General features: G+C 56.5%; 1 protein-coding gene across 11 annotated transcripts, besides 14 other annotated features; it reads right to left on the reverse strand.

Moving 5' to 3' along the window:
* On the reverse strand, positions 63-18,155 carry FHOD1 (formin homology 2 domain containing 1). 11 transcript variants are annotated; one of them, NM_001318202.2, is made up of 24 exons: positions 17,884-18,155; positions 10,022-10,128; positions 9,577-9,641; positions 9,054-9,121; positions 8,876-8,981; positions 8,708-8,802; positions 8,331-8,442; positions 8,149-8,243; positions 7,913-8,056; positions 7,640-7,788; positions 7,231-7,407; positions 7,085-7,108; positions 6,690-6,743; positions 5,031-5,146; positions 4,331-4,941; positions 2,713-2,868; positions 2,311-2,493; positions 2,104-2,223; positions 1,862-2,023; positions 1,275-1,465; positions 988-1,180; positions 740-902; positions 467-664; positions 63-392 (listed from the first exon to the last, which is right to left on the reverse strand). In NM_001318202.2, the coding sequence occupies exons 1-24, from the start codon at positions 18,082-18,084 to the stop codon at positions 310-312; spliced, it is 3,573 nt and encodes a 1,190-aa protein (NP_001305131.1). In that variant the 5' UTR covers positions 18,085-18,155; the 3' UTR covers positions 63-309. The 11 variants fall into 11 exon arrangements, with proteins under 11 accessions (NP_001305131.1, XP_011521345.1, XP_011521346.1 ...); XM_011523043.3 differs by lacking the exon at positions 17,884-18,155 and adding an exon at positions 16,942-17,485; XM_011523044.2 differs by lacking the exon at positions 1,862-2,023.
* Positions 2,030-2,531: an enhancer, noted in NCBI's record as "H3K4me1 hESC enhancer chr16:67265259-67265760 (GRCh37/hg19 assembly coordinates)". NCBI's record gives its function as "activates a minimal SCP1, AML or CMV promoter by ChIP-STARR-seq in naive and primed H9 embryonic stem cells {active_cell/tissue: H9 hESC(naive and primed)}" and the evidence as "EXISTENCE:reporter gene assay evidence [ECO:0000049][PMID:30033119]".
* Positions 2,532-3,031: an enhancer, noted in NCBI's record as "H3K4me1 hESC enhancer chr16:67265761-67266260 (GRCh37/hg19 assembly coordinates)". NCBI's record gives its function as "activates a minimal SCP1, AML or CMV promoter by ChIP-STARR-seq in primed H9 embryonic stem cells {active_cell/tissue: H9 hESC(primed)}" and the evidence as "EXISTENCE:reporter gene assay evidence [ECO:0000049][PMID:30033119]".
* Positions 7,280-7,439: a silencer, noted in NCBI's record as "silent region_7594". NCBI's record gives its function as "represses an Ori minimal core promoter by ATAC-STARR-seq in GM12878 lymphoblastoid cells {active_cell/tissue: GM12878}" and the evidence as "EXISTENCE:reporter gene assay evidence [ECO:0000049][PMID:35858748]".
* Positions 7,444-8,385: an enhancer, noted in NCBI's record as "H3K4me1 hESC enhancer chr16:67270673-67271614 (GRCh37/hg19 assembly coordinates)". NCBI's record gives its function as "activates a minimal SCP1, AML or CMV promoter by ChIP-STARR-seq in naive H9 embryonic stem cells {active_cell/tissue: H9 hESC(naive)}" and the evidence as "EXISTENCE:reporter gene assay evidence [ECO:0000049][PMID:30033119]".
* Positions 7,444-9,256: a biological region, named in NCBI's record as "BRD4-independent group 4 enhancer GRCh37_chr16:67271286-67272485".
* Positions 8,057-9,256: an enhancer, noted in NCBI's record as "BRD4-independent group 4 enhancer chr16:67271286-67272485 (GRCh37/hg19 assembly coordinates)". NCBI's record gives its function as "activates an origin of replication core promoter dependent on BRD2, P300/CBP, MED14 and CDK7 cofactors, and independent of BRD4, by STARR-seq in HCT116 cells {active_cell/tissue: HCT116}" and the evidence as "EXISTENCE:reporter gene assay evidence [ECO:0000049][PMID:35650434]".
* Positions 12,269-12,942: an enhancer, noted in NCBI's record as "H3K27ac-H3K4me1 hESC enhancer chr16:67275498-67276171 (GRCh37/hg19 assembly coordinates)". NCBI's record gives its function as "activates a minimal SCP1, AML or CMV promoter by ChIP-STARR-seq in primed H9 embryonic stem cells {active_cell/tissue: H9 hESC(primed)}" and the evidence as "EXISTENCE:reporter gene assay evidence [ECO:0000049][PMID:30033119]".
* Positions 12,943-13,615: an enhancer, noted in NCBI's record as "H3K27ac-H3K4me1 hESC enhancer chr16:67276172-67276844 (GRCh37/hg19 assembly coordinates)". NCBI's record gives its function as "activates a minimal SCP1, AML or CMV promoter by ChIP-STARR-seq in primed H9 embryonic stem cells {active_cell/tissue: H9 hESC(primed)}" and the evidence as "EXISTENCE:reporter gene assay evidence [ECO:0000049][PMID:30033119]".
* Positions 14,858-15,097: an enhancer, noted in NCBI's record as "active region_10960". NCBI's record gives its function as "activates an Ori minimal core promoter by ATAC-STARR-seq in GM12878 lymphoblastoid cells {active_cell/tissue: GM12878}" and the evidence as "EXISTENCE:reporter gene assay evidence [ECO:0000049][PMID:35858748]".
* Positions 15,348-15,397: an enhancer, noted in NCBI's record as "active region_10961". NCBI's record gives its function as "activates an Ori minimal core promoter by ATAC-STARR-seq in GM12878 lymphoblastoid cells {active_cell/tissue: GM12878}" and the evidence as "EXISTENCE:reporter gene assay evidence [ECO:0000049][PMID:35858748]".
* Positions 15,508-15,557: an enhancer, noted in NCBI's record as "active region_10962". NCBI's record gives its function as "activates an Ori minimal core promoter by ATAC-STARR-seq in GM12878 lymphoblastoid cells {active_cell/tissue: GM12878}" and the evidence as "EXISTENCE:reporter gene assay evidence [ECO:0000049][PMID:35858748]".
* Positions 16,330-16,989: an enhancer, noted in NCBI's record as "H3K27ac-H3K4me1 hESC enhancer chr16:67279559-67280218 (GRCh37/hg19 assembly coordinates)". NCBI's record gives its function as "activates a minimal SCP1, AML or CMV promoter by ChIP-STARR-seq in naive H9 embryonic stem cells {active_cell/tissue: H9 hESC(naive)}" and the evidence as "EXISTENCE:reporter gene assay evidence [ECO:0000049][PMID:30033119]".
* Positions 17,093-17,192: a silencer, noted in NCBI's record as "silent region_7595". NCBI's record gives its function as "represses an Ori minimal core promoter by ATAC-STARR-seq in GM12878 lymphoblastoid cells {active_cell/tissue: GM12878}" and the evidence as "EXISTENCE:reporter gene assay evidence [ECO:0000049][PMID:35858748]".
* Positions 18,093-18,462: a silencer, noted in NCBI's record as "silent region_7596". NCBI's record gives its function as "represses an Ori minimal core promoter by ATAC-STARR-seq in GM12878 lymphoblastoid cells {active_cell/tissue: GM12878}" and the evidence as "EXISTENCE:reporter gene assay evidence [ECO:0000049][PMID:35858748]".

Here is an 18,946-nt window from a genome sequence, read left to right on the forward strand (position 1 = left end):
TATGGGATTTCCCTCCTGCTACAAACCCAGCCTGGTGGGGACCCTGAAAGAAGAGAAACCTGTTGGATTAGCTAAGAAAATTTTATTTTGCTCCGTGCGTTCAAGGAGCTCACACACATGCACATGCATATGCATGCACACACACACATACACACACACTCACATGCATACACACACGGCTAATACTGCTCAAGGCATGGCTCCTGGGCACAGAGTTCTGGGGCCAGAATTCTGCTCTGGGCCCTCCTCACTCTGTCATCTCCTGCACTGCAGTCCAGGGTCCAGATAGATTTCCGGGATACAGCACCTTCACACCTCCAGGCCAGGACCCTTGCTTAGTCCCAGTGCCTGCACCAGGTCATCTCCGAGCCCACTCTTCAACGTCCTTCTCACTGCAGGGACAGAGCAGGGTTGGAGGGGGTTGATGGGGTTCAGGTGGGCAGTGGGATTGTGGGGGGTTACTTACAAGACTTGCGGTTGCCGCGGGAACGCTTGCGTTCCCTAGCAGCTAAGGCACGAGGACTGCTCTTGGTCACTGACTGCACCAGAAGGTCCATGATCTCATCTGATGTATCACTGGGTAAACTGGAGCCTGGGGGTTCTTCTGGGGATGCAGTGGAGGGCCCCACTGTGGGCATGATTGGGGAGCTGCTCTGGACCATGCCTGAGGAAGGCCAGATAGCAAAGTCAGGCCAAGGTGGCACTGGAGCCCATTCCCCACAGCTGCTATGGGCCTCACCTCTGCTGCGGCGATTGTGTGTGGTGTCCTCAGGCCTGCTGGTCAGCAGACTCTTCATACTAGCATGACTGTCAGCATCTCCCCGGCCTGGCCCGCTGCTCACTGCTACTGGGACAGAGGGGTTGCTGGGGGCTTCCCCAGCCACACCTGAGAACTTCTCTGTCTGGAGAAAGAAGAAGGGTGAGCTGGGAGGAGCGAAGGAAACCAAGGAGGTGGCAGTCAAGACTAAGACCTGGAAGGGCACCCACCTCGGTGATCATGCGTCCCCGGGTCTTGTTGCGCTCACGGTATGTGGCCTGCTTCTGCTGCTGCTGTAGCACTCGTTCCCGGCAAGTCCGATACTCAAGCGCAAATTCCCGCAGCGTGTGGCAGAACTGCATGATGCGCACTTCACGGGCCGCCTGCGGGGTGTAGCCCAGGTAGAGCAGGAAGGCATGGAACCTAGGCAGGTCAGAGTAGGGAGGGACAGTAAGTCCTGCTTATTGTCTGAGGGAGGGTGGTGGCCGTCCTGCCTCTCTTGGGTCCATGCCCCTACCTATTGCAGACACGGCGGTGCACTATCCTTAGCATGGCAACACGGCGGGCACACTGGTCCAGGAAGTGGGTGAGGCGGGCACGCAGGGCTGGGGCCAGCTCATGCTTGGCCAAGCTCCGCAGGCTCTCCTCGGCTGCCCGGCTCCGGCGCTCCAGCTGCCCCAGGTTCTCAGTCAGCTGTTCAAAGTCCACCTGAGAAAGCAAGGGGGTGCACATACTGTCCCCCCACACCCTGTAGACAAGACATGGCCCGAGGCTGCTTCTGGGCCAGAGTGGCCAGCTTGGGCCCTAAGGACACAGACATCCAAATCTCATAGACTAGTGCAAGAGACACAAGTCCATCTGATGTGAATGGGGAGCAGAAGGTTTACTGGGGGAAGTGGCAGTTAAACAGACCCAAAGACTGAGTAGGTGTGGCCAGGCCAATAGAGGAAAGAGCATTTCTGGCAGAGGGCATAGCTCACACCCAGGTGGCTGGAGCAAGCCCTGGCACAGCAGCCCAAATGGGGAGAAGGGGGAGGAGCCAGGCCCAGGAAGCAGCGCTCCTCATGCCTTGTCCGGCCTTGGTTGATTCTGGCAGGTGCTAACCTTGGCACAGCGGGTCAGGGCAGGGATTTCTGAATAGAGGTCAGAGGACTCAGGCCGGGTCTGGAGCACTAGGGAGCAGAGATGGTGTAGCAGTGACTGTCGACGCACCGTGTCCTTCACCTCTGACACCTTCTCCAGGTAGCTCAGCTCAAAGCCGCTGCTCTGAAAGGACCCTTTCTGAGCCTGGGCCTGGTTGGCTCCAGAACCCTGACTCCCCCTAGTCCCCATGTACTCTCACTCACCTGGGAGCCATTGAGGAAGTTGCCCACCGCTAGGAGGGTAGCCAGGATGCAGCGGAAGGTGGCATTCTGTACCAGCTGTTCCATACCCACTTTCAGGTCAAACAGTGGCTCAGCAATTTCCTGGTATGGGAGACCAGGGACTCTCAGACTACATGGTCATGATGCTTACCTGTCCCTACTGACTGTCCCACTCCAAGACCCAGGTACCCGCTCCATGCTGTCATAGTCCAGCTTGAAGGCCCAGAGTTGTAGACGAGCAGCGAGGCCGCCAATGGAGGCAAGAGTCATCAGGAAGTTCTCGGCTGGGCCCAGGGGTATGTCAGGGTTGGCCAGCTGGGCTTCCTCAATCTTCTGCCGCTCTTCCTCCGTGGGCATCATGGTCAGTAGCTTCTGAGGATGTAGCCAGAGCCTGACATGGCCCCCTCAATGCAGGCCTGAGGCCTGAGGCATTGGTCTTGACCCCTCAGTCATCTAGGGGAGGCCCCAGTGTCTGGGGACTGCCCTGCAGAAATGCCAAGCCCATGCCCACCACCAGAGGGACAGGAAATGCCCACCTACCAAAGGAGAAGGCCAGACCTCCCCCCAACACCCATAGCTGGGTGACCTCACCTCAATGCCATCCTTGCTGACAGCAAACTCATCAAAGTTGAGCAGAGCAGCCTTAATGACATGCACAGGTGGCAGTGTGGTTAGGCCGATGTTGATGGCGTTGCTGCGCTTGGGGTCCAGCACTGTGGTCATTGTCCGGCGGCCCTCTCCAGCTTTCTGCATGGTTGGGGGAAGGGCAGTGTAAGACTGAGGAAGGGGGCCTGACGCGGTGGCTCACGCCTGTAATCCCAGCACTTTGGGAGGCCAAGGCGGGTGGACCACGAGGTCAGGAGATCGAGACCATCCTGGCTAACATGGTGAAACCCCATCTCTACTAAAAATACAAAAAAAATTAGCTGGGCGTGGTGGCGGGCACCTGTAGTCCCAGCTACTCGGGAGGCTGAGGCAGGAGAATGGCGTGAACCCGGGAGGCGGAGCTTGCAGTGAGCTGAGATCACACCATTGCACTACATCCTGGGTGACTGAGCAAGACTCTGTCTCAAAAAAAAAAAAAAAAAAAAAAAGACTGAGGAAGGGACTAGCTGGGACAGCAACCTCAGAGGGCACTCCAAGGCCCTCCTCTAGATTGCCAAATGATCCCACAACTGACAAACTGGCAACCTGGAATGTGTAAGTCATGGGGATGAGCTTAGATTCTTTTGAGACAGGGCCTGGCTCTACCATCTAGGCTGGAGTGCAGTGGTGCCATCATCGCCCACTGCAGCTTATCTTCTGGGATTTTCCTGCCTCAGCCTCCCAAGTAGCTGGGATTACAGGCGTGTACCACCATACCCAACTATTTTTTTTTTTAACATTTTTTTTTCCGCCTCCCAGGTTCAAGCAATTCTTTTGCCTCAGCCTCCCAAGTAGCTGGTATTGCAGGCATGAGCCACCACGCCCAGCTCATTTTCATATTTTTAGTAGAGACGGGGTTTCACCATGTTGGCCAGGCTGGTCTCAAACTCCTGGCCTCAAGTAATCTGCCTGCCTTGGCCTCCCAAAGTGCTGGGATTACAGGGGTGAGCCACCATGCCCGGCTAATTTTTTTTTTAACATTTATTTATTTTTATTTATTTAGTTATTTTTGAGACGAAGTCTTGCTCTTGTCCCCCAGGCTGGAGTGCAATGGTGCGATCTCGACTCACTGCAACCTCTACCTCCCGGGTTCAAGTGATTCTCCTGCCTCAGCCTCCCGAGTAGCTGGGATTACAGGTGCCCGCCACCACGCTTGGCTAATTTTGTGTTTTTAGTAGAGACGGGGTTTTGCTAATTTGACCAGGCTGGTCTCGAACTCCTGACCTCAAATGATCCACCTGCCTCGGCCTCCCAAGGTCCTGGGATTACAGGCATGAGCCACTACACCCAGACCAACTTTTAGTAGAGATAATGTCTCACTATGTTGCACAGGCTGGTCTCAAACTCTTGGATTACAGGTGTGAGCCACCATGCCCGGCCACATTTAGATTCTAGTTGGGGCACTGCTGATCCCTTGTTAGGAGACCTTGGACAATTTCCTACTCCTTTCTTTGCCTTGGTTTCCCCATGTGGGAAGTGAGTGACTAGCTCCAACAGGTCAGATCCTTAAGCTCTGATTCCCTCCTGCCTCCCTTGGGGCTACCTTGCAGATGAGTGGATTTACCTTGGAGGGCAGCACCTCTTTGGCACGAGACTCAAAGAGGTGTTCCAGTCGGGCCGTGTCCACTGAGACAGGGTCCAGTGAAGCCCAGAGGGTGGCGCAGGGCCCAAAGCGGCTTGCAGAGACTCCATGGCCCCCAGCCAGCTTCAGCTCACGCCAGAAAAGTTTTACTGTCTTCCTCTTAGTGGGGAGGGCTGAGCTGTCAGGCACTGAATGGGGAAGAGGGGCAGCCAGAGGTAGAGGTGGAGGTGGTGGGAAGGGGCCTTTGATGGGTGGGGGAGGTGGAAGTGGGGGAGGGGGGGGTACTCCCGAGAGCAGGGGCAGTGGGGGTGAGGGAGCTGGGATGTCTTTCCCAGCCTCCACAGACTCTACATTCAGCATGTCCTGGTCTTCATCCTCCCCTAGATCTGAAAAGTCCAGGTCCCCAATAGAGAGCCTGGGTGCACGGGTAGGGAGCTCCCAGATGGGCTCAGCCTTGGGGCTTGCTGGTATCAGTGGCTCCTTGGGCTCTGGTGCAAGGCTTCGCTGGGCCCGGAGCAGGACACAGGGGGCAGGGCTCTGGGGTGTTCTGGCTGCAGGGGCTGTCTCTGGGGAGTCCCAGAGTTGCCGGGCATCTAAAGAAAGGGAAGGAGCTGTCAGTGCCATGCCCCCTGTGGGGCAACAAAGCAACAGGCAGGCTCTGCCTGCTCACCCACCTACTCACCTGGGTGTCCACCCGCCTCATTGGGCATGGCCCCGGCAAGTGTCTCTGCCCGGCCCTGGGCCAGCGCAACCTGCTTCTCTGTTTCTGCTGCCGCCACATTCTCCAGGAACCGGGCTCTGAGGGAAGGTGCTTGTCACTGACAGCGTCTGACACACCCCAGCCCAGGTGTACATGCCTTGCTGAGCCCCTGGACACCACCCCCAATTGCAGGCACGCACAGACACACAGGGAACAGTCCATGCGCTGAGCAGACCAGAACCACACCCCCCCCAAGGCCAGCCCCTCTTCAGTCCTCCACATCTGGGGAGGATTACTACCAACCCAGCATTCCCAGGTGAAAACACAGGGAGAGGATCTACTTAACATCTAACTTGCAACCTCGTTCATGTTCACTGTCCTGGTTTTTTTTTGGTTGGTTTTTTTTTTAGAGACAGGGTCTCACTCTGTCAGTCACCCAGGCTGGAGTACAGTGGTGTGATCATAGCTCACTGCAGCCTCACTCTCCTGGGCTTGACCCTCAGCCTCCCAAGTAGCTGGGACTACAGACATGTGCCACCACGTCCAGCTGATTTTTTAATTTTTTTGAGGAGACAGGGTCTCACTGTGTTGTTCAGGCTGGCCTTGAATTCCTGGCCTCAAGCAGTCCTCCCACCTCAGCCTCCTGAAGTGCTGAGATTACAGGTGTGAATGATGCACCCAGCCAAATTTTAAAAAATTTCTTTGTAGAGATGAGGTCTTACTGTGTTGCCCAGGCTGGTGTCTTGAGTCTAGACAAGGACTCTTAGAGCAGGGGAAGGGGATAGCTGTCCCAATGGGCATATCAGGCTGTCCCTCCCTTGGCATGTCTGGTAGCTTCTGGGAGCCTATGCCCAGGAAAGGGCCTGGTAAACAGGCCAGGTGCGGTGGCTCACGCTTGTAATCCCAGCACTTTGGGAGGCAGAGGTGGGTGGATTACTTGAAGTCAGGAGTTCGAGACCAGCCTGGCCAACATGGTGAAACCCTGTCTCTACTAAAAATACAAAAATTACCCAGGTATCCTGGTGCAGGCCTATAATCCCAGCTACTTGGGAGGCTGAGGCAGGAGAATTGCTTGAACCTGGGAGGCAGAGGTTGCAGTGTGCTGAGATCACACCACTGCACTCCAGCCTTGGAGACCGAGCAAGACTCTGTCTCAAAAAAAAAAAAAACAAAAAAAAAACGGATGTGGTAAACAGTGGACCCTCAGTTTATGCTGAAATAATGGGTGCAATCCAGTGTTTCTTTTCTGGCCCCTCCAGCCTCTGTCAGCTCTCAGTCCCTGCCTTTCCCTCAGCCTTAGGTTACCCCTCCACCCCCACACCACACACCACACAGCACCCTAGGTCCCCTCCCTGCTCGCTTCTGAGCTGAAGACTTGGCAGAATGAGCCCCAGGTTGGGTGTCCACATCCCCATCTCTGGCTGCTAAGGTGTTGCTATTGAAGCACAGGGACCACTGTGACCCCAGTGAATTGGTTCCCAGTGCTTAGCCTTTGGGTTACCGAGGAGGCATATGTCTGGGAGAGGATAGGCCTGAGTCCCCCAGCTTTGGTTGCATCAGGCACGTGAAACCCCTGCTGGGGGAAGCAATGCTGAAGCCCTGAGCACATGGCAGGCCTGGCAGGCCGGCCTCTGTACTTACTCCAGCCTGGCCTGCCCAGGAGGGGACTGGGGGACGGGTGGGCTCTCAGGGGCCCTGGGTAGGGGGGATGAGAGGAAGAGATGGTAACTGTGGTGTCAGCTCCATGGTTGCTCATACCCACACAGAGCTAGGCAGTGATATTGGGGTTCCTTCCCAGCCGCAGTGGGAAGTGGGGGAAGGTATGACACGAGGAAACTGGAAGTGGAGGGGAGAGACTGACGTGGAGCAGGACAGGGTGCTGGAAGAGACAGAGGCAGCAGAACAAGGGAGTGACAGATAGTGGGCGGGAGACATGACAAGAGGCAAAGACAGGCAGAACGTCGGAGGAGACAAAGGAAACCACAGGAGGAGGAGATCCAGTCAGAGCCGAACCCCACCCGCTGGCAGTCACTTACCAAACGGAAGCAGTTTGGTGAAGTCTGGAAAGAGAGAGAGAGAAAGCACGCGTTTGGGCAGAGGAGGCTGAGTGCCCATGGAGGGGCGCAAAGCGGAGGGACAATGGGAGAGAGGACTCCAGGGTGGCCTCTGTCTCCCTACTTACTTGTAGATGCTCCTCTCGCTGGAGGTGTCAGCTGAGGGTGCCACAGAGATGGTAGGAAAAAGGTTCACTGAAGCTTGGAGACCGGAGGGAGGGCCCACAGGGCTGGAGGCGGGGCCTGTCAGCAGGGCGGGGCCGGTGGAAGAGGTGGGGCCTACCGGTGAGGCGGGGCCTGTGGGGCTGAAAGCAGGGGCTGTCAGTGGGGCGGGGCCTGAGAAGCTGGAGGCGGGGCCTGTCAGTGGGGTGGGGCCTGCGGGGCGGGAGGTGGGGCATGTCGGTAGGGCAGGCCCAGTGGAGGAGGTGGGGGCTGTCTGTGGGGCGGGGCCTGAGGGGGTTGGGGTCAGGGCCTGTCAGCTCACTGGGCCATGCCTAGTAGATCCACCCTTTCCCATCTACAGATGCTCGTACTTACCCAGGTTCCGGGGCACGCGCGGGGCAGCCCCCGCCTTCCAGAGAACGGCGGCTCCTCTTGCCCTCCTCAGAAGAAGGCTTTCGTCGTTCCCGCCGCCCACCAGCGCCTGGGGCTTCTTCGATGTCTCCATCCTCCAATTTCAGGGCGTTCTAGCAGAGGCGGACCAGGATGTAAGAAAGTGGTTAACGTGTATGCAGGTGGGGTGGGGCGCTGGGGACTGCGCTTCTCTCTTCCCTCTTTCCAATCCGCCTCAGAGCGTAAGGCCCGGCCCACCTCGTAGAGCACAAGCTGCGTGCGCAGGTCGACGTCAGTGCCCGCAGTGCCCAGGTGGCGCTGGACCAGCGCTTCCATGCCCTGCTGCTCCAGTGCATCCGTCACATCGTAGAAGGAGTCCTGGTCCGGGAGCGCCGCCAGCGTCTGGAGGGCGGGGATAAGAAGGCAAGGCTGAGGTTGGTGGGGAGGTCAGGAGCCTGAGCATCCCAGAGCTGGCACCCAGTCCTTGGCCACACCTTGTTGATGAGGGTGACCGTGTACACCAACAACTCAGGGTCAGCGCCATTCTTCTCCTCCAGGATGGACACCAGATTGGCCCAGGGAGGAGCACCTGCCACACAGAAAGTGGAGCAGTCATGGGGGAACAGGTAGGAGAGAGGGCTCTGAGCGGTGGGGGGAGAAAGGGACAGTCTCTGACCGGTGGTGCTGGCCACAGAGTTCACTGCACGGATGAACAGCGGTGCGTTGTTTTCGGAGTATTCTACAAACACCAACAGCAGCTTCAGGGCTGTCTTCACCACCAAGCGGGACTGAGGAGAGAGGTCAGTACATATGAGTGGGGCTTAGGCCAGACCTGTGCCAGCTGTTGCTGGGGAAGGGGAAGGGCTGCTGGGGCTGGACCCAGAGAGAATCTAGGCAGAATGACCCTGGCCCCAGGCCCAGGCACTGAAGTGCCTTATAGGCTTACAGAGGCCTCAGACTCACTCCCTTCCAGCTCACTTTGCAGAACAGGAAACTGAGGCCCAGAGAGAAGCAACAGGCAAAGGGTATAAGGCTGAGTGGAGAGCCACTTACCAGGCTGGCACACAATGTGTACAGCCACTGAATAGTGTCACTGTGGGCCACCACCCCCAGCATTCCATCCACAAAGAGCATCAGCTGGCCGAGCGCTGGGGAAACAGGGATGGGCAGAGTCAGCGAGGGTCGCTGGAGCAGAGGTCATGGGAGAGGGGCGGGGCTGACCTCTAAGGATGTAGCTCTGGTAGTTGTGGTCGGCAGCAGCACCCACACGGATCAGGCAGCTCAGCCCCTCTGAATGCACAAATTCAGGCACCAGGTCTTTGTCCTCCTAGAGGCACCATGGGGGAGTTTAGGGAAGCTTGGGCTACACACTTACCCCCAGCCCACTGCGGGGCCTCACCTGGAAGATCTGCTTCAGTGAGAAGAGGGAGCGGCGGAGCTCAGGACCACTGGAGCTATACAGCTTTTCTGCAAAAGGTAGGGTATAAAACCCTTGATGGACACAGACTCACTGTCTTCCTCTGCTTGGATACAACCACAACTCTCCACCAAAGAATAGTCTAATATATATGTTTTGGTCTGAGAGACAGGGTCTCACTCTGTCACTCAGGCTGGAGTGTGGAGTGCAGTGGCACAGTCATAGCTCACTGCAACCTCAAACTCCTAGCCTCAAGCAATTCTCCCACCTTGACCTCTCAAAGCACTGGCATTGGAGGCATGAGCTACCACGCCTGGTCTATTCTAACATTCTTGAATCCCCCTCCACTCCCACCATGGCCCTGGAAGAAGAGGTCAGGATAGGGAGAGGAAGGAGCACATACAGCTAAACCTACTTTGCTCACTGTTCAGCACAGGCCTGAAGGTGAGCCAACTGGGCTATGGGGAGGAGGTGCTGCTGGACATGGATGCTCTCACACACTCACCCAAGATAGCGTTGACCCTCACAGAGAGCTGGGTCCGAAGGATCAGCGTGGGCTTCCGCCCTTTGCTGGAATCAAGGATCTCTGTTAGCAGCTCCCAGCCTATCCCTCAGCATTCCTCCCCACAAGCCAAGGGAGCCAAAGACCTCCCCATGCCAGCCCCAGCCCAGCTTGTTCCTCCCAGCTGCTCCTCCAAGAACCCAAGGGTTGGTCGGACAAGAGGGTTGGTGCAAACACATGTATCTCAGGTATGTGGGAGAGCCCCTAACTCCCACCTTGGGCAGCAGGTAACACTGGCCAGGCTTTAGAATTCCCCTGGCACACTTCCCTGGGGCAGGAGGTGACCCATGGCTCAGGCTAGTGATCGAGTGTCTCAGCTGCTGACATTTGAGCTAGCCCCTGGCAAGGGTGGGGGTAACCTTGCCTCCCTGGCCCCATCAGTTCTGACCTGATCTCTTCATAGAAGCCCTCCAGCATCTCCCGCTGCTCTTCCAGGGACAGCTCGGTGTCCAGGTAGTATCCGGAGGGAGACACTTGCAGAGCACAATCCTCCAACTGGGGGCAAAGGGAACAGCTGTGAGACTGAGGAAGAGGTGGCAGGCGAATGTATGAAGACCCCTGACCTCTTACCTACCACTTGAAGGGTGGCAGAGAGACACAGGGTCTGCACTACAGCTGTGCATTCCTTCAGCAGTTGCTTCTCAAGCACCTACTATGTGCAAAGCCCATCTGTGTCAGGCACCAGGCTTTCTTGGCCTTTGTTTGTACCATCTCCTCTCCTGGCTGATACCTACCTATTCTTTAGGTTGCTATGCAACCCACTCCACCCTGTGTGTATGCTCCCTTTCGAGACCTTCCACACAGCATTCTAATATCCGAGCCACTGGTCTCCTCTAGCTGCGTTCTCTGCGTTCAGGCACTCCGTCTGTCTTGCTCCCTGCTGTATCTATAGAGCCTGGCATAGCACCTGACACACAGTAAGCACTCACTAGGACTTGTTGAGCTAATAAACACAGATGAGGAAGGGGAATGGAGAGAAGATGGGAGGAAGTTCCTGCCTTCGAGGAAGCTCACAGCCCTGTGGGGTGATAAGCTATAGTCACAAAGCATTAAGCCCCAGAAAGAAAGTGTTAAGATGGCTGGGAGGTGCAAACCCACCCGGGAGAGTGTGTCTGTGTGTGTGTGTGTCTCAGTGAGTAAGAGGGTGAAGACAGGGTCTGATCCATAGACTTCCCAGTCCCACCAGATTTCAGGGTCTTTGGCCTCTCCCAAAGTGGGCTACAGTTACAATGGTCCTAGCTGGACCTCAGAGACACCCAAGGGGCCTATTAAAAAACTAACTTTAGGCCAGGCGTGGTGGCTCACGCCTGTAATCTCAGCACTTTGGGAGGCTGAGGAGGGTGGATCGCCTAAGGTCAGGAGTTCTAGACCAGCCTGGCCAACGTGGTGAAACCCCGTCTCTACAAAAATGCAAAAATTAGCCAGGCATGATGGCGGGTGCCTGTAATCCCAGCTACTGCTGGGGAGGCTGAGGCAGGAGAATTGCTTGAATCCAGGAGGCAGACATTGCAGTGAGCCGAGATCATGTCATTGCACTCTAGCCTGGGAGACAGAGTGAGACTCTGTCTCAAAAAACAAAACAAAACAAAACACTTAAGAGTCTGACTCAGTCTACAGTAGGACCCCAAAGCCTGCCTTTGTAACAAGCAGGCACATGCTCCATCCACGTGTCCATGTTTCCCTCCCCGGGCTCTCCTCCCCCGCCACAAGGCATGGCACTTAGCCCCTTGAGAAGTGCCTGTAGAGAAGCCTGAGGGAGGTGACTCCTGTGAGTCGGAGGGTGGCACTCTACCTCTCCCAGACACCTCCCTCCATTGCACAGTGCAGATATGCAGGTTCAGCAAAGTCTCCTTGACTTAAGTGGCTCTGGCCCTTGAGATGCCTTGGCCCAGGGAGAGCCCACCTCTGGAGAGGCAGGGTGTCTTCTGGTCTCCATCTTACTGGGCATGTCAATTCCAACATTTGTCCTGCTGTTTGGTCAGCCCTGCCCTCTTCTGGACCCTGCCCAAGGGCTTCCAACTGGCCTTGGTCCCCTGGAGAAAAAGGGAGTCCAGCTCCTGCCTCAACCCCTACCTCTGTTTAGCAACCCTTGCGCCTGCCTCAGAGCCTGACCTGGCTCCTTCCCCACAGTTTAGCCTGTGGGGCCCTTGGATGACCCCCCCCCCCGCCCACCCCCGCCTGGGACCTGGGACATAGGACAAACACTCCAGCCTGTTCTCTGTCCCACTTCCTGCCTGGCTGCCTGCCCTCCCCAGGGTGCCTTGGGCAGGCCTGGCCACTTTCCCCTCCCTGGGAGCAGAGTCATCTTCTCCAGGGCCTACTGGGAACAGGCCTGAGAAGGGGCAGCAAGGCCTGAGGGCTGGGGTATCTTGTCCAGGGCCAGCTCAGCTGAGGGCAACCCACATTCCTCCTGATCTCTTCCCACACAGTGACTCAGCAGCCTACCACCCCACCCCCATTCAGGCACAGCCGCATCTCCCTCCCTTGGCCTGGAAGATTCTGGGACCCTAGAAGAACACACCTACCCCAGAGCCACCCCCGTCAGGGATCCCCTCGAATCACACACATATAGAACAGCTCATTCTTTGAACATTCATGACCAGGCTGGTTTCAGATGCAGAGGACCTAGGAGGAATTAGACACTGCCTCTGCCTTCCCTTCCTTCCAGCCCAGTGGGGCAGACGGGAAGACAGACAGACGAGTCAGAAAAAGCTCACAAATGAATGTGGAATCACAACTTTCACAGTGCTAAGAAAGGGGAGGGGCAGAGTGCTATAAAGATAAACGGGAAGGGAAAACATGTTACACCTGGTAACTGCTTACACACCCAGGTATAAGGTTGGGTATGCACTGGCCAACACAGGCTGAAGCAGCACAGACCCAGAAAGGTCAGGCCCACCACGCTGTCCTGCCTCCTTGCATGCTGTAATCCCAAGAGAGCAGAGAATGTCCCTCTCCTTCCAGGACACCTGCATCCATTTGGGGAAGGGTCCTGAAGGTTAAATAGTCCACCTTCTTTTTTTTTTTGATATGGAGTCTTGCTCTGTCTCCCAAGTTGGAGTGTAGTGGCACAGTCTTGGCTCACTGCAACCTCTGCCTCCTGGGTTCAAGCAATTCTCCTACCTCAGCCTCCTGAGTAGCTAAGGTTACAGGCGTGCATCACCATGCCTGGCTAATTTTTGTATTTTTAGTAGAGACAGGGTTTCAGCATGTCATCCAGGCTGGTCTTGAACTCCTGACCTCAAGTGATCCACTTGCCTCTGCCTCTCAAAGTGCTGGGATTGTAGGTGTGAGCCACTGTGCCCGGCCAATGGTCCACATTCTCTAGCCTCCTCAGCCACTTCACCTGTCCAATCCTGCCAGGGCCCCATTTCTGGGGAGGAGGTCCAGGGAAACAGGTAGTCCAGTGCCTTCCAGGACAGTGTCTCCCCACCCCCAGCTGTCTGTCCTGGGTGGAAGTGTGGGGTGGTAGGCTAGAGTCAGGCAAGCAGCAAAGAGCAGGAGACTTCCTGCTAGCAGGATGGCACATGTCCCTCACACCCCGGCCCCTTCCTGGGGTCACCCTTCTGAGAGCCAAACCTCTGGGCCTTGTTTCTCACACCCTGGGGCTGGGCCAGGCCTGAATAAGCCCAAACCCTGGTCCTTGCTGACGGGGCTTAAGCTCAGCACGTAGTATGGGCCCACTTCCCTGACACCTTCTTGGCTCTTGTCTTCCTCACTTCTCTGGTCTCTGTCTTGGGGTGGAGTCTTTCCCCCATTCTTCCCAGGCTCAGCTTCTCACATTGGCCTCCAGCCCACTATACTCTTGACTTTCCAGGCTCAGGCTTTTCTGGCAGCCCAAAACCAACTGGTTATGTATGGTTTTATATGCAGGGTCAAGCCCAGGGGACCATGGCATCTACTTCTCTCTCTCTTTCTAGCTATCTATCTACCTATGTATAATATATAGATATAGATCTATAATATATAGATGTCTATAGATATTGATAATTTATATATATAGCTATGTATCTATTATATATATCTAGACATCTATTACATATATCTATTATATATTTTATAAATATACATTTTTCCCGCTTGTTTCTTTAGACTGTCTTACCCAATATTTTTAATAACAGTGTAATCAGGTAAGACTGAACATACCAGAGCAGGGTACAGGGAAGATGGAAAAGAGGCAGGATTATAGGCTGAAGGGCTTTCATTTTAGAAAATAATTGGTTAACTGCCTCTTTTGTCTCCTTTCCTATAAACACAGGACCCTGTGTTCTGAAGACCCTCCTTTCCTGTTATCGCAGGTCTCCAACTAGAGTGTGACTTCCTGAATGAGATGACAAGGATGGGCCTTGGGGAGGGAAATCCACTTTTGTTATCTTATGCTTCCTCTGTGCCAGGCACCGGACTGCCTCTTTTTTTTCTTTTCTTTTTTTTTTTAATAGAAATAGGGTCTCGCTATATCACCCACACTGTTCTTGAACTCCTGGCCTCAAGCAATCCTCTGGCCTTGGCTTCCCAAAGTGCTGAGATTACAGGCATGAGCCACCATGCCCAGCCTGAGCCGCCTATTTAATTTGATTCTACCAATAATCCTTTTACAGATAGGGAAACCAAGAATCAGAAAATCAGCGCATTGCCCCAGGGTGCACAGCCAGGAGCCAGGGCTAATTGACCAAATCTTGGGCGGATGGGCCCTGGAAATGCTCCAAGGAACCCTAGAGGGGAAGTGGAGTGAGGGCTGGGGCCAGAAGGATTGCCAAGAGCTGAAGACATCCTCTTAGTTTTCTGGACTCTGCAAATACCCCATACTGGTCCTCCCAGTTCCAGTAAGGGAACACCAATAGACACACGCACCCCATGCAAGTTAGGATAATAGTATCTACCTCTGCCAGGACCTAGGTGTCAGGGTCCCTCACCAGTCTGCAGCTCAGCCACTCTGTTCCAGAATGACCAGCAGATTGGATAGTCCAGCCCCAGGGGAGGCTAGGAGGAGACCAGGACTCATGCCCACACCTCAGTTTTCTACAGTCTCCCAAAGGCTCCTGAGATGTAAAAAGGCTAGAGTGGGTTGGGGTAGGGTCAGGAAACATTCCAGGACAGTGCCACCCCTGTCCTACTCTGATTTTTAGCCACAGCTAGGGAAACAAAGTTGCTAGTAATGACCAGATTTCTAGGGCTATCCCCACTGTCAGGAGGAGAGGGCTTTCCTGGCCTTTGCAGCAGGGTCAGAGAAGCACCCCAGATCCCCCTACCCGGAGCTCAGGGAGAAGTCAGTGCTATACCAGGTGTGGTAGGGCCTTGGGTATCGGAGAGGCTCCTGAGACACTTCCCAGAAGGGAGGGTAGAACTGGGAGGCTCTAGATTAGGAGATGAGATGCAAGGCCAGAGGGACACATTCTCCCCTCTGGCAAAGGCAGGTCTGGGCTGGGGGAATATTTTGGAGGGGAGGAAGGCACTCCTGAGTTCCCCCAGGGACACTAGGCCCGGCCCAAGACACTGTCAAGCTCCCTTCCACCAACCAGGGCCAGGAGATGAGTCAGAGGCTGTGGCCAGGAGCTTCCTCCTAGTCTAGGAGGAAATGAGCAAGGCTTTCTGAGATCTGAAAGCTCTTTAAAAAGGAAGCCCCCAGGGGAACTCTAGGGGCTAGGCTCGGCCCAATGGGGTGTGTGGGTGGAGTCCCAGGGAGAAAGCAGGCTGGCCTCTGTACATCCCCAGGGAGGGGGGTCATCTGCTGGGATGATCAGGGCCAGTACCCGGGGCCAGTACCCAGAGGAGGACAGAGGCCACTTGGCTGTGTCCTGTCCTCTGCTGGACAACTGTACATAGGACGAAGCAATGAGTAAAGAACCCCTTCCTCTTATTTCTGCCCTACAGCTTGGGACAGGGATGCCCTGGTTTCTGGGCCACCTCTTCCCTCTAGAGGGCCAGCAAGACAGGCCTGAGTCATGTCTGTGACTCTGGGGCACCCACTTATAGGACTACGGGAGGAACCAGCTGTTGACATTTCCTGCAAGGAGGGGCCCTGCTCCCCCTTGCTCAGCTCTCTGATGTCCCTGTCTCTGCCCTATTCTCAGCCCCTCTTCCTCCAGCCTTCTATTCTGGGGCTGTGGTCATAGTTTATATTTGGGTTGAGCACATCACAGTGCATCTGACCATTCCTGGCAGAGTTGCTAGCCCCAGGGAATCCTGGCTTCTGGCATTGTGGTAACCTAGTGTGCCACCTCCATATCCCTGTGGGGGAGGGAAGGCAGTCCTCAGGTACTCCAGGTGGGAGAACATGAAATCGGGGAGACCAGGAAGGACTGCATTGGGGATGAGGAACTTATATTCTTCACCGGAGCTCAGTAGTGTCCTCAGCTAAGGAGCAGGGAACACAGGGCAGAGCACCTGGTAGGGTTGGGTGGGGACACGGGTCCCATGAGAGGGAGATAGAAGGAGTGGTTCTGAGCCTCTTTCTTGCAGCTGACTTCCCAGGCTTGCCCCCAGCTGGGAAGAGGTGTGTCAAGGGGCTGGGCATGGTGGCTCAAGCCTTAATCCCAGCACTTTGGGAGGCTTAGGCAGGCAGATCACCTGAGGTCAGGAGTTTGAGACCAGGCTGGCCAACACGGAGAAACCCTGTCCCTACTAAAAATACAAAAATTACCTGAGTATGGTGGCGCACACCTGTAATCCCAGCTATTTGGAAGGCTGAGGCACGAGAATTGCTAGAACCCGGGAGGTGGAGGTTGCAGTGAGCCAAGATAGCCCCACTGTACTCCAGCCTGGGAGACAGAGCCAGAATCCGTCTTAAAAAAAAAAAAATCGGGGGGGTGGTGTCAGGGCTAGGTCCAATCCTTGAGTTGCAGGATGAGAGGAATACAATATATTCTCTAGTGCCCCACCCTTATTTCAGGATCCGGACTTTAGGAGCCTGGAAGCGGGAACCAGTCTTAGTTCAGCACTCCTGTCTTCCCAGCCCCCATCCTGAATGGGAGGTGGCCTCCAGCTGCACACGCTTCTTCCAGGCACACCTCAATTTGCCCCTCTGAATAGGGCAAGAGAAGCGGGGGCTGAGTCAAAACTGGCGGTGAGCAGTGTCCTGCATCCTTCCAGCCATGGCCTTGAAGCCGGGGTTCTGGCCTGGACACGTGCCACTCTCCAGGCCAATAGTCTCACCACCCCTCCCGCCAGCGCTCAGAGGCGGGGCTGGCCGCAGCGCGAGGAATGCGGGCTGGGGGCCCGGGGCACATTCCAGGGAAGACCCCAGGCCCAAGGGGCAAGTTTACGCAACTCGCCGCCCAGCTGAGGCTGGGAGCAGGGGAGGGCACCCACCCCGACTCTCTCTCCTCTTCTCCAGCACTGGAGGCGGCCGGGCTGGTGGGGAGCTTGTGGAGGTGGTAGTGCGCCTCCCAGAGTCCTGGCCCGGAAACAGCGCGCCGGAAAGGGCTGCCTGCGGGGGGCTGACGGCGGCGAGAGGGAGGGGAGAGGAGGTAGGCTGGCCATCTGGAAAAGGGCCTCTTTCCGCACTGTGCACAAGTCCGCTTCGGGGCGGCAGCAAAGTAGGGCAGGCCGGCTGTTTAAAATTAGTCCGGCCCTCCCTCTCACTTTCAGGCGCGGGCCGATGGGCGGCGAGTGTCCGGGGGTGGGGGCGGGAGCGGTGACTCAAAGGGCTTTTACACCCGTGCAGCCTCCTGCGCTCTGCGGATCCCGGGCCAGACCGCTTCGCGGGGACTCCCCTCACCCCGTGAAGTCTCTCCTCGGCCGGCACTCCCATACTCCCATTGACCTACAGGGTCAAGCCCCAATCCAGCTTCCTGACACCGCAGGAAACCTCTGCCACCTCTAGTAGTCCGCCTCGGGCCCGCCCCTCCTCGTGGTCCCGCCCCCACCTCACCTGAAGCAGGTGGAAGCTGGTCCCTCCCCAGCTCCGCCTCCAGGGTCCGCTACAGCCCAAGCGGCTACCGTCACTCTGACCAGGGAAGCCACCCTGGCAGACCGACGGCGAGTGGAACTCGAGCACCTCCCCAGGTGCGCCTAATTCGAAGGGCAGTCAGAATGGCGGAGCCAAGTTCCTGGCACCCCTCTTCAGTTTCCCCTCAACTTGAGAGGGGACTCCCCCGCAGGCGGGGCAGAGTGGACCCTGGGACCCCAGCCCAAGACTTTTCCGGAGAAGAACACTCGCTCCAGCCTCTTCCCGCGGAGCACCTCCCACCAGTTTTCATGGCGCCCACCCTGAACCCCCGATCGCCCCAACCTTTCTCCGGCCTCCCTCACCTTGAGCGGCGCTCCCAGCAGGCGGTGCACCGCGGGTATCTGCGCGCCCAAGGGCAGCGCCCCGTCCAGGCTGCAGGTGGGGGCCCGGCGCGGCTCCGGAAAGTTGGCACATGCGAAGGGGTCGGTGTCTTCCAGGTACTGCACCCTCACGGTCACCACTGATACCGGCTCTCCGTCCCCGCGGTCTTCCCCGCCCGCCATGGCTCTGCGGCCGGCTCACGCAGCGCGCCTCCGAGTCCCGGCCCCAGTGCAGCTTCTACTCAAAGCACACTGTAGCTCCGCGGTTCGGGCCCGGCCGGACCGGACGCGGCTGGAGGGGCGGGGCCAGACGGAGGCGGGGCCGAGGAAGGGGGTGGAGCCAAGATTAGTCCCCGAGTGCGCGCCAGGAGGTAACCACTGCCGGAGGCGGGGCCGCCGCTAGCCACTCACAGGGCCCAATGGGAATCCCGTTAGTTCACTGGCTAGGAGGGCGGGAAAAACCGAGCTCGCGCCCCACCTTCGAGAACGCGCAGAAGGCGGGGAGGCTTTCTTTGGTCTGGGGATAGTGAGGCTGCGTTCTCTTTGAGGGGTGTTAGGGCAGATGGGGCAGAAGTTTCTTTAGATAGTGGCCGGCCAGGTCTCTCTCAGTTGAGGGACAAGATAGCCCTCATTCCTTCCATTTGAGGGGTGAGTCCCTGTGGTTTCCTCATTTAGGGAAAGCAGTGAGAGGGGGTCCCTTCAATTTGGAGCAAGAAGTGAGAATAAATTCCACCCAGTTTGAAGGAAGAGGTGGGATCAGTTCCCTTTAGTTGTGGGAGGAAGAGGGAAGGATGCCCTTCAGTTTTCTGGGAAAAGATTGGGAGGAGTCAGTTTGAGGGGGCAGATAGAACACGTTCCCCTCAGTTTTGGAGAAAAAGTGGGATGGGTGCCCCTCAGCCTGAATGAAAAGTGGAGACGGTCCTCCTCTGTTTGGGGCGCTATGAGCCGAATGCCCCTCAGATTTGGAAAAAGTTGGGTGCATCTCGCCTAGTTTGAAGGGAATCAGTAGGCTGGGTTTTCCATAGGTTCCTGTCAGCTTCATCAA

This window comes from Homo sapiens, chromosome 16, assembly GCF_000001405.40.
Source record: "Homo sapiens chromosome 16, GRCh38.p14 Primary Assembly".
NCBI classification, from domain to species: Eukaryota; Metazoa; Chordata; class Mammalia; order Primates; family Hominidae; genus Homo; species Homo sapiens.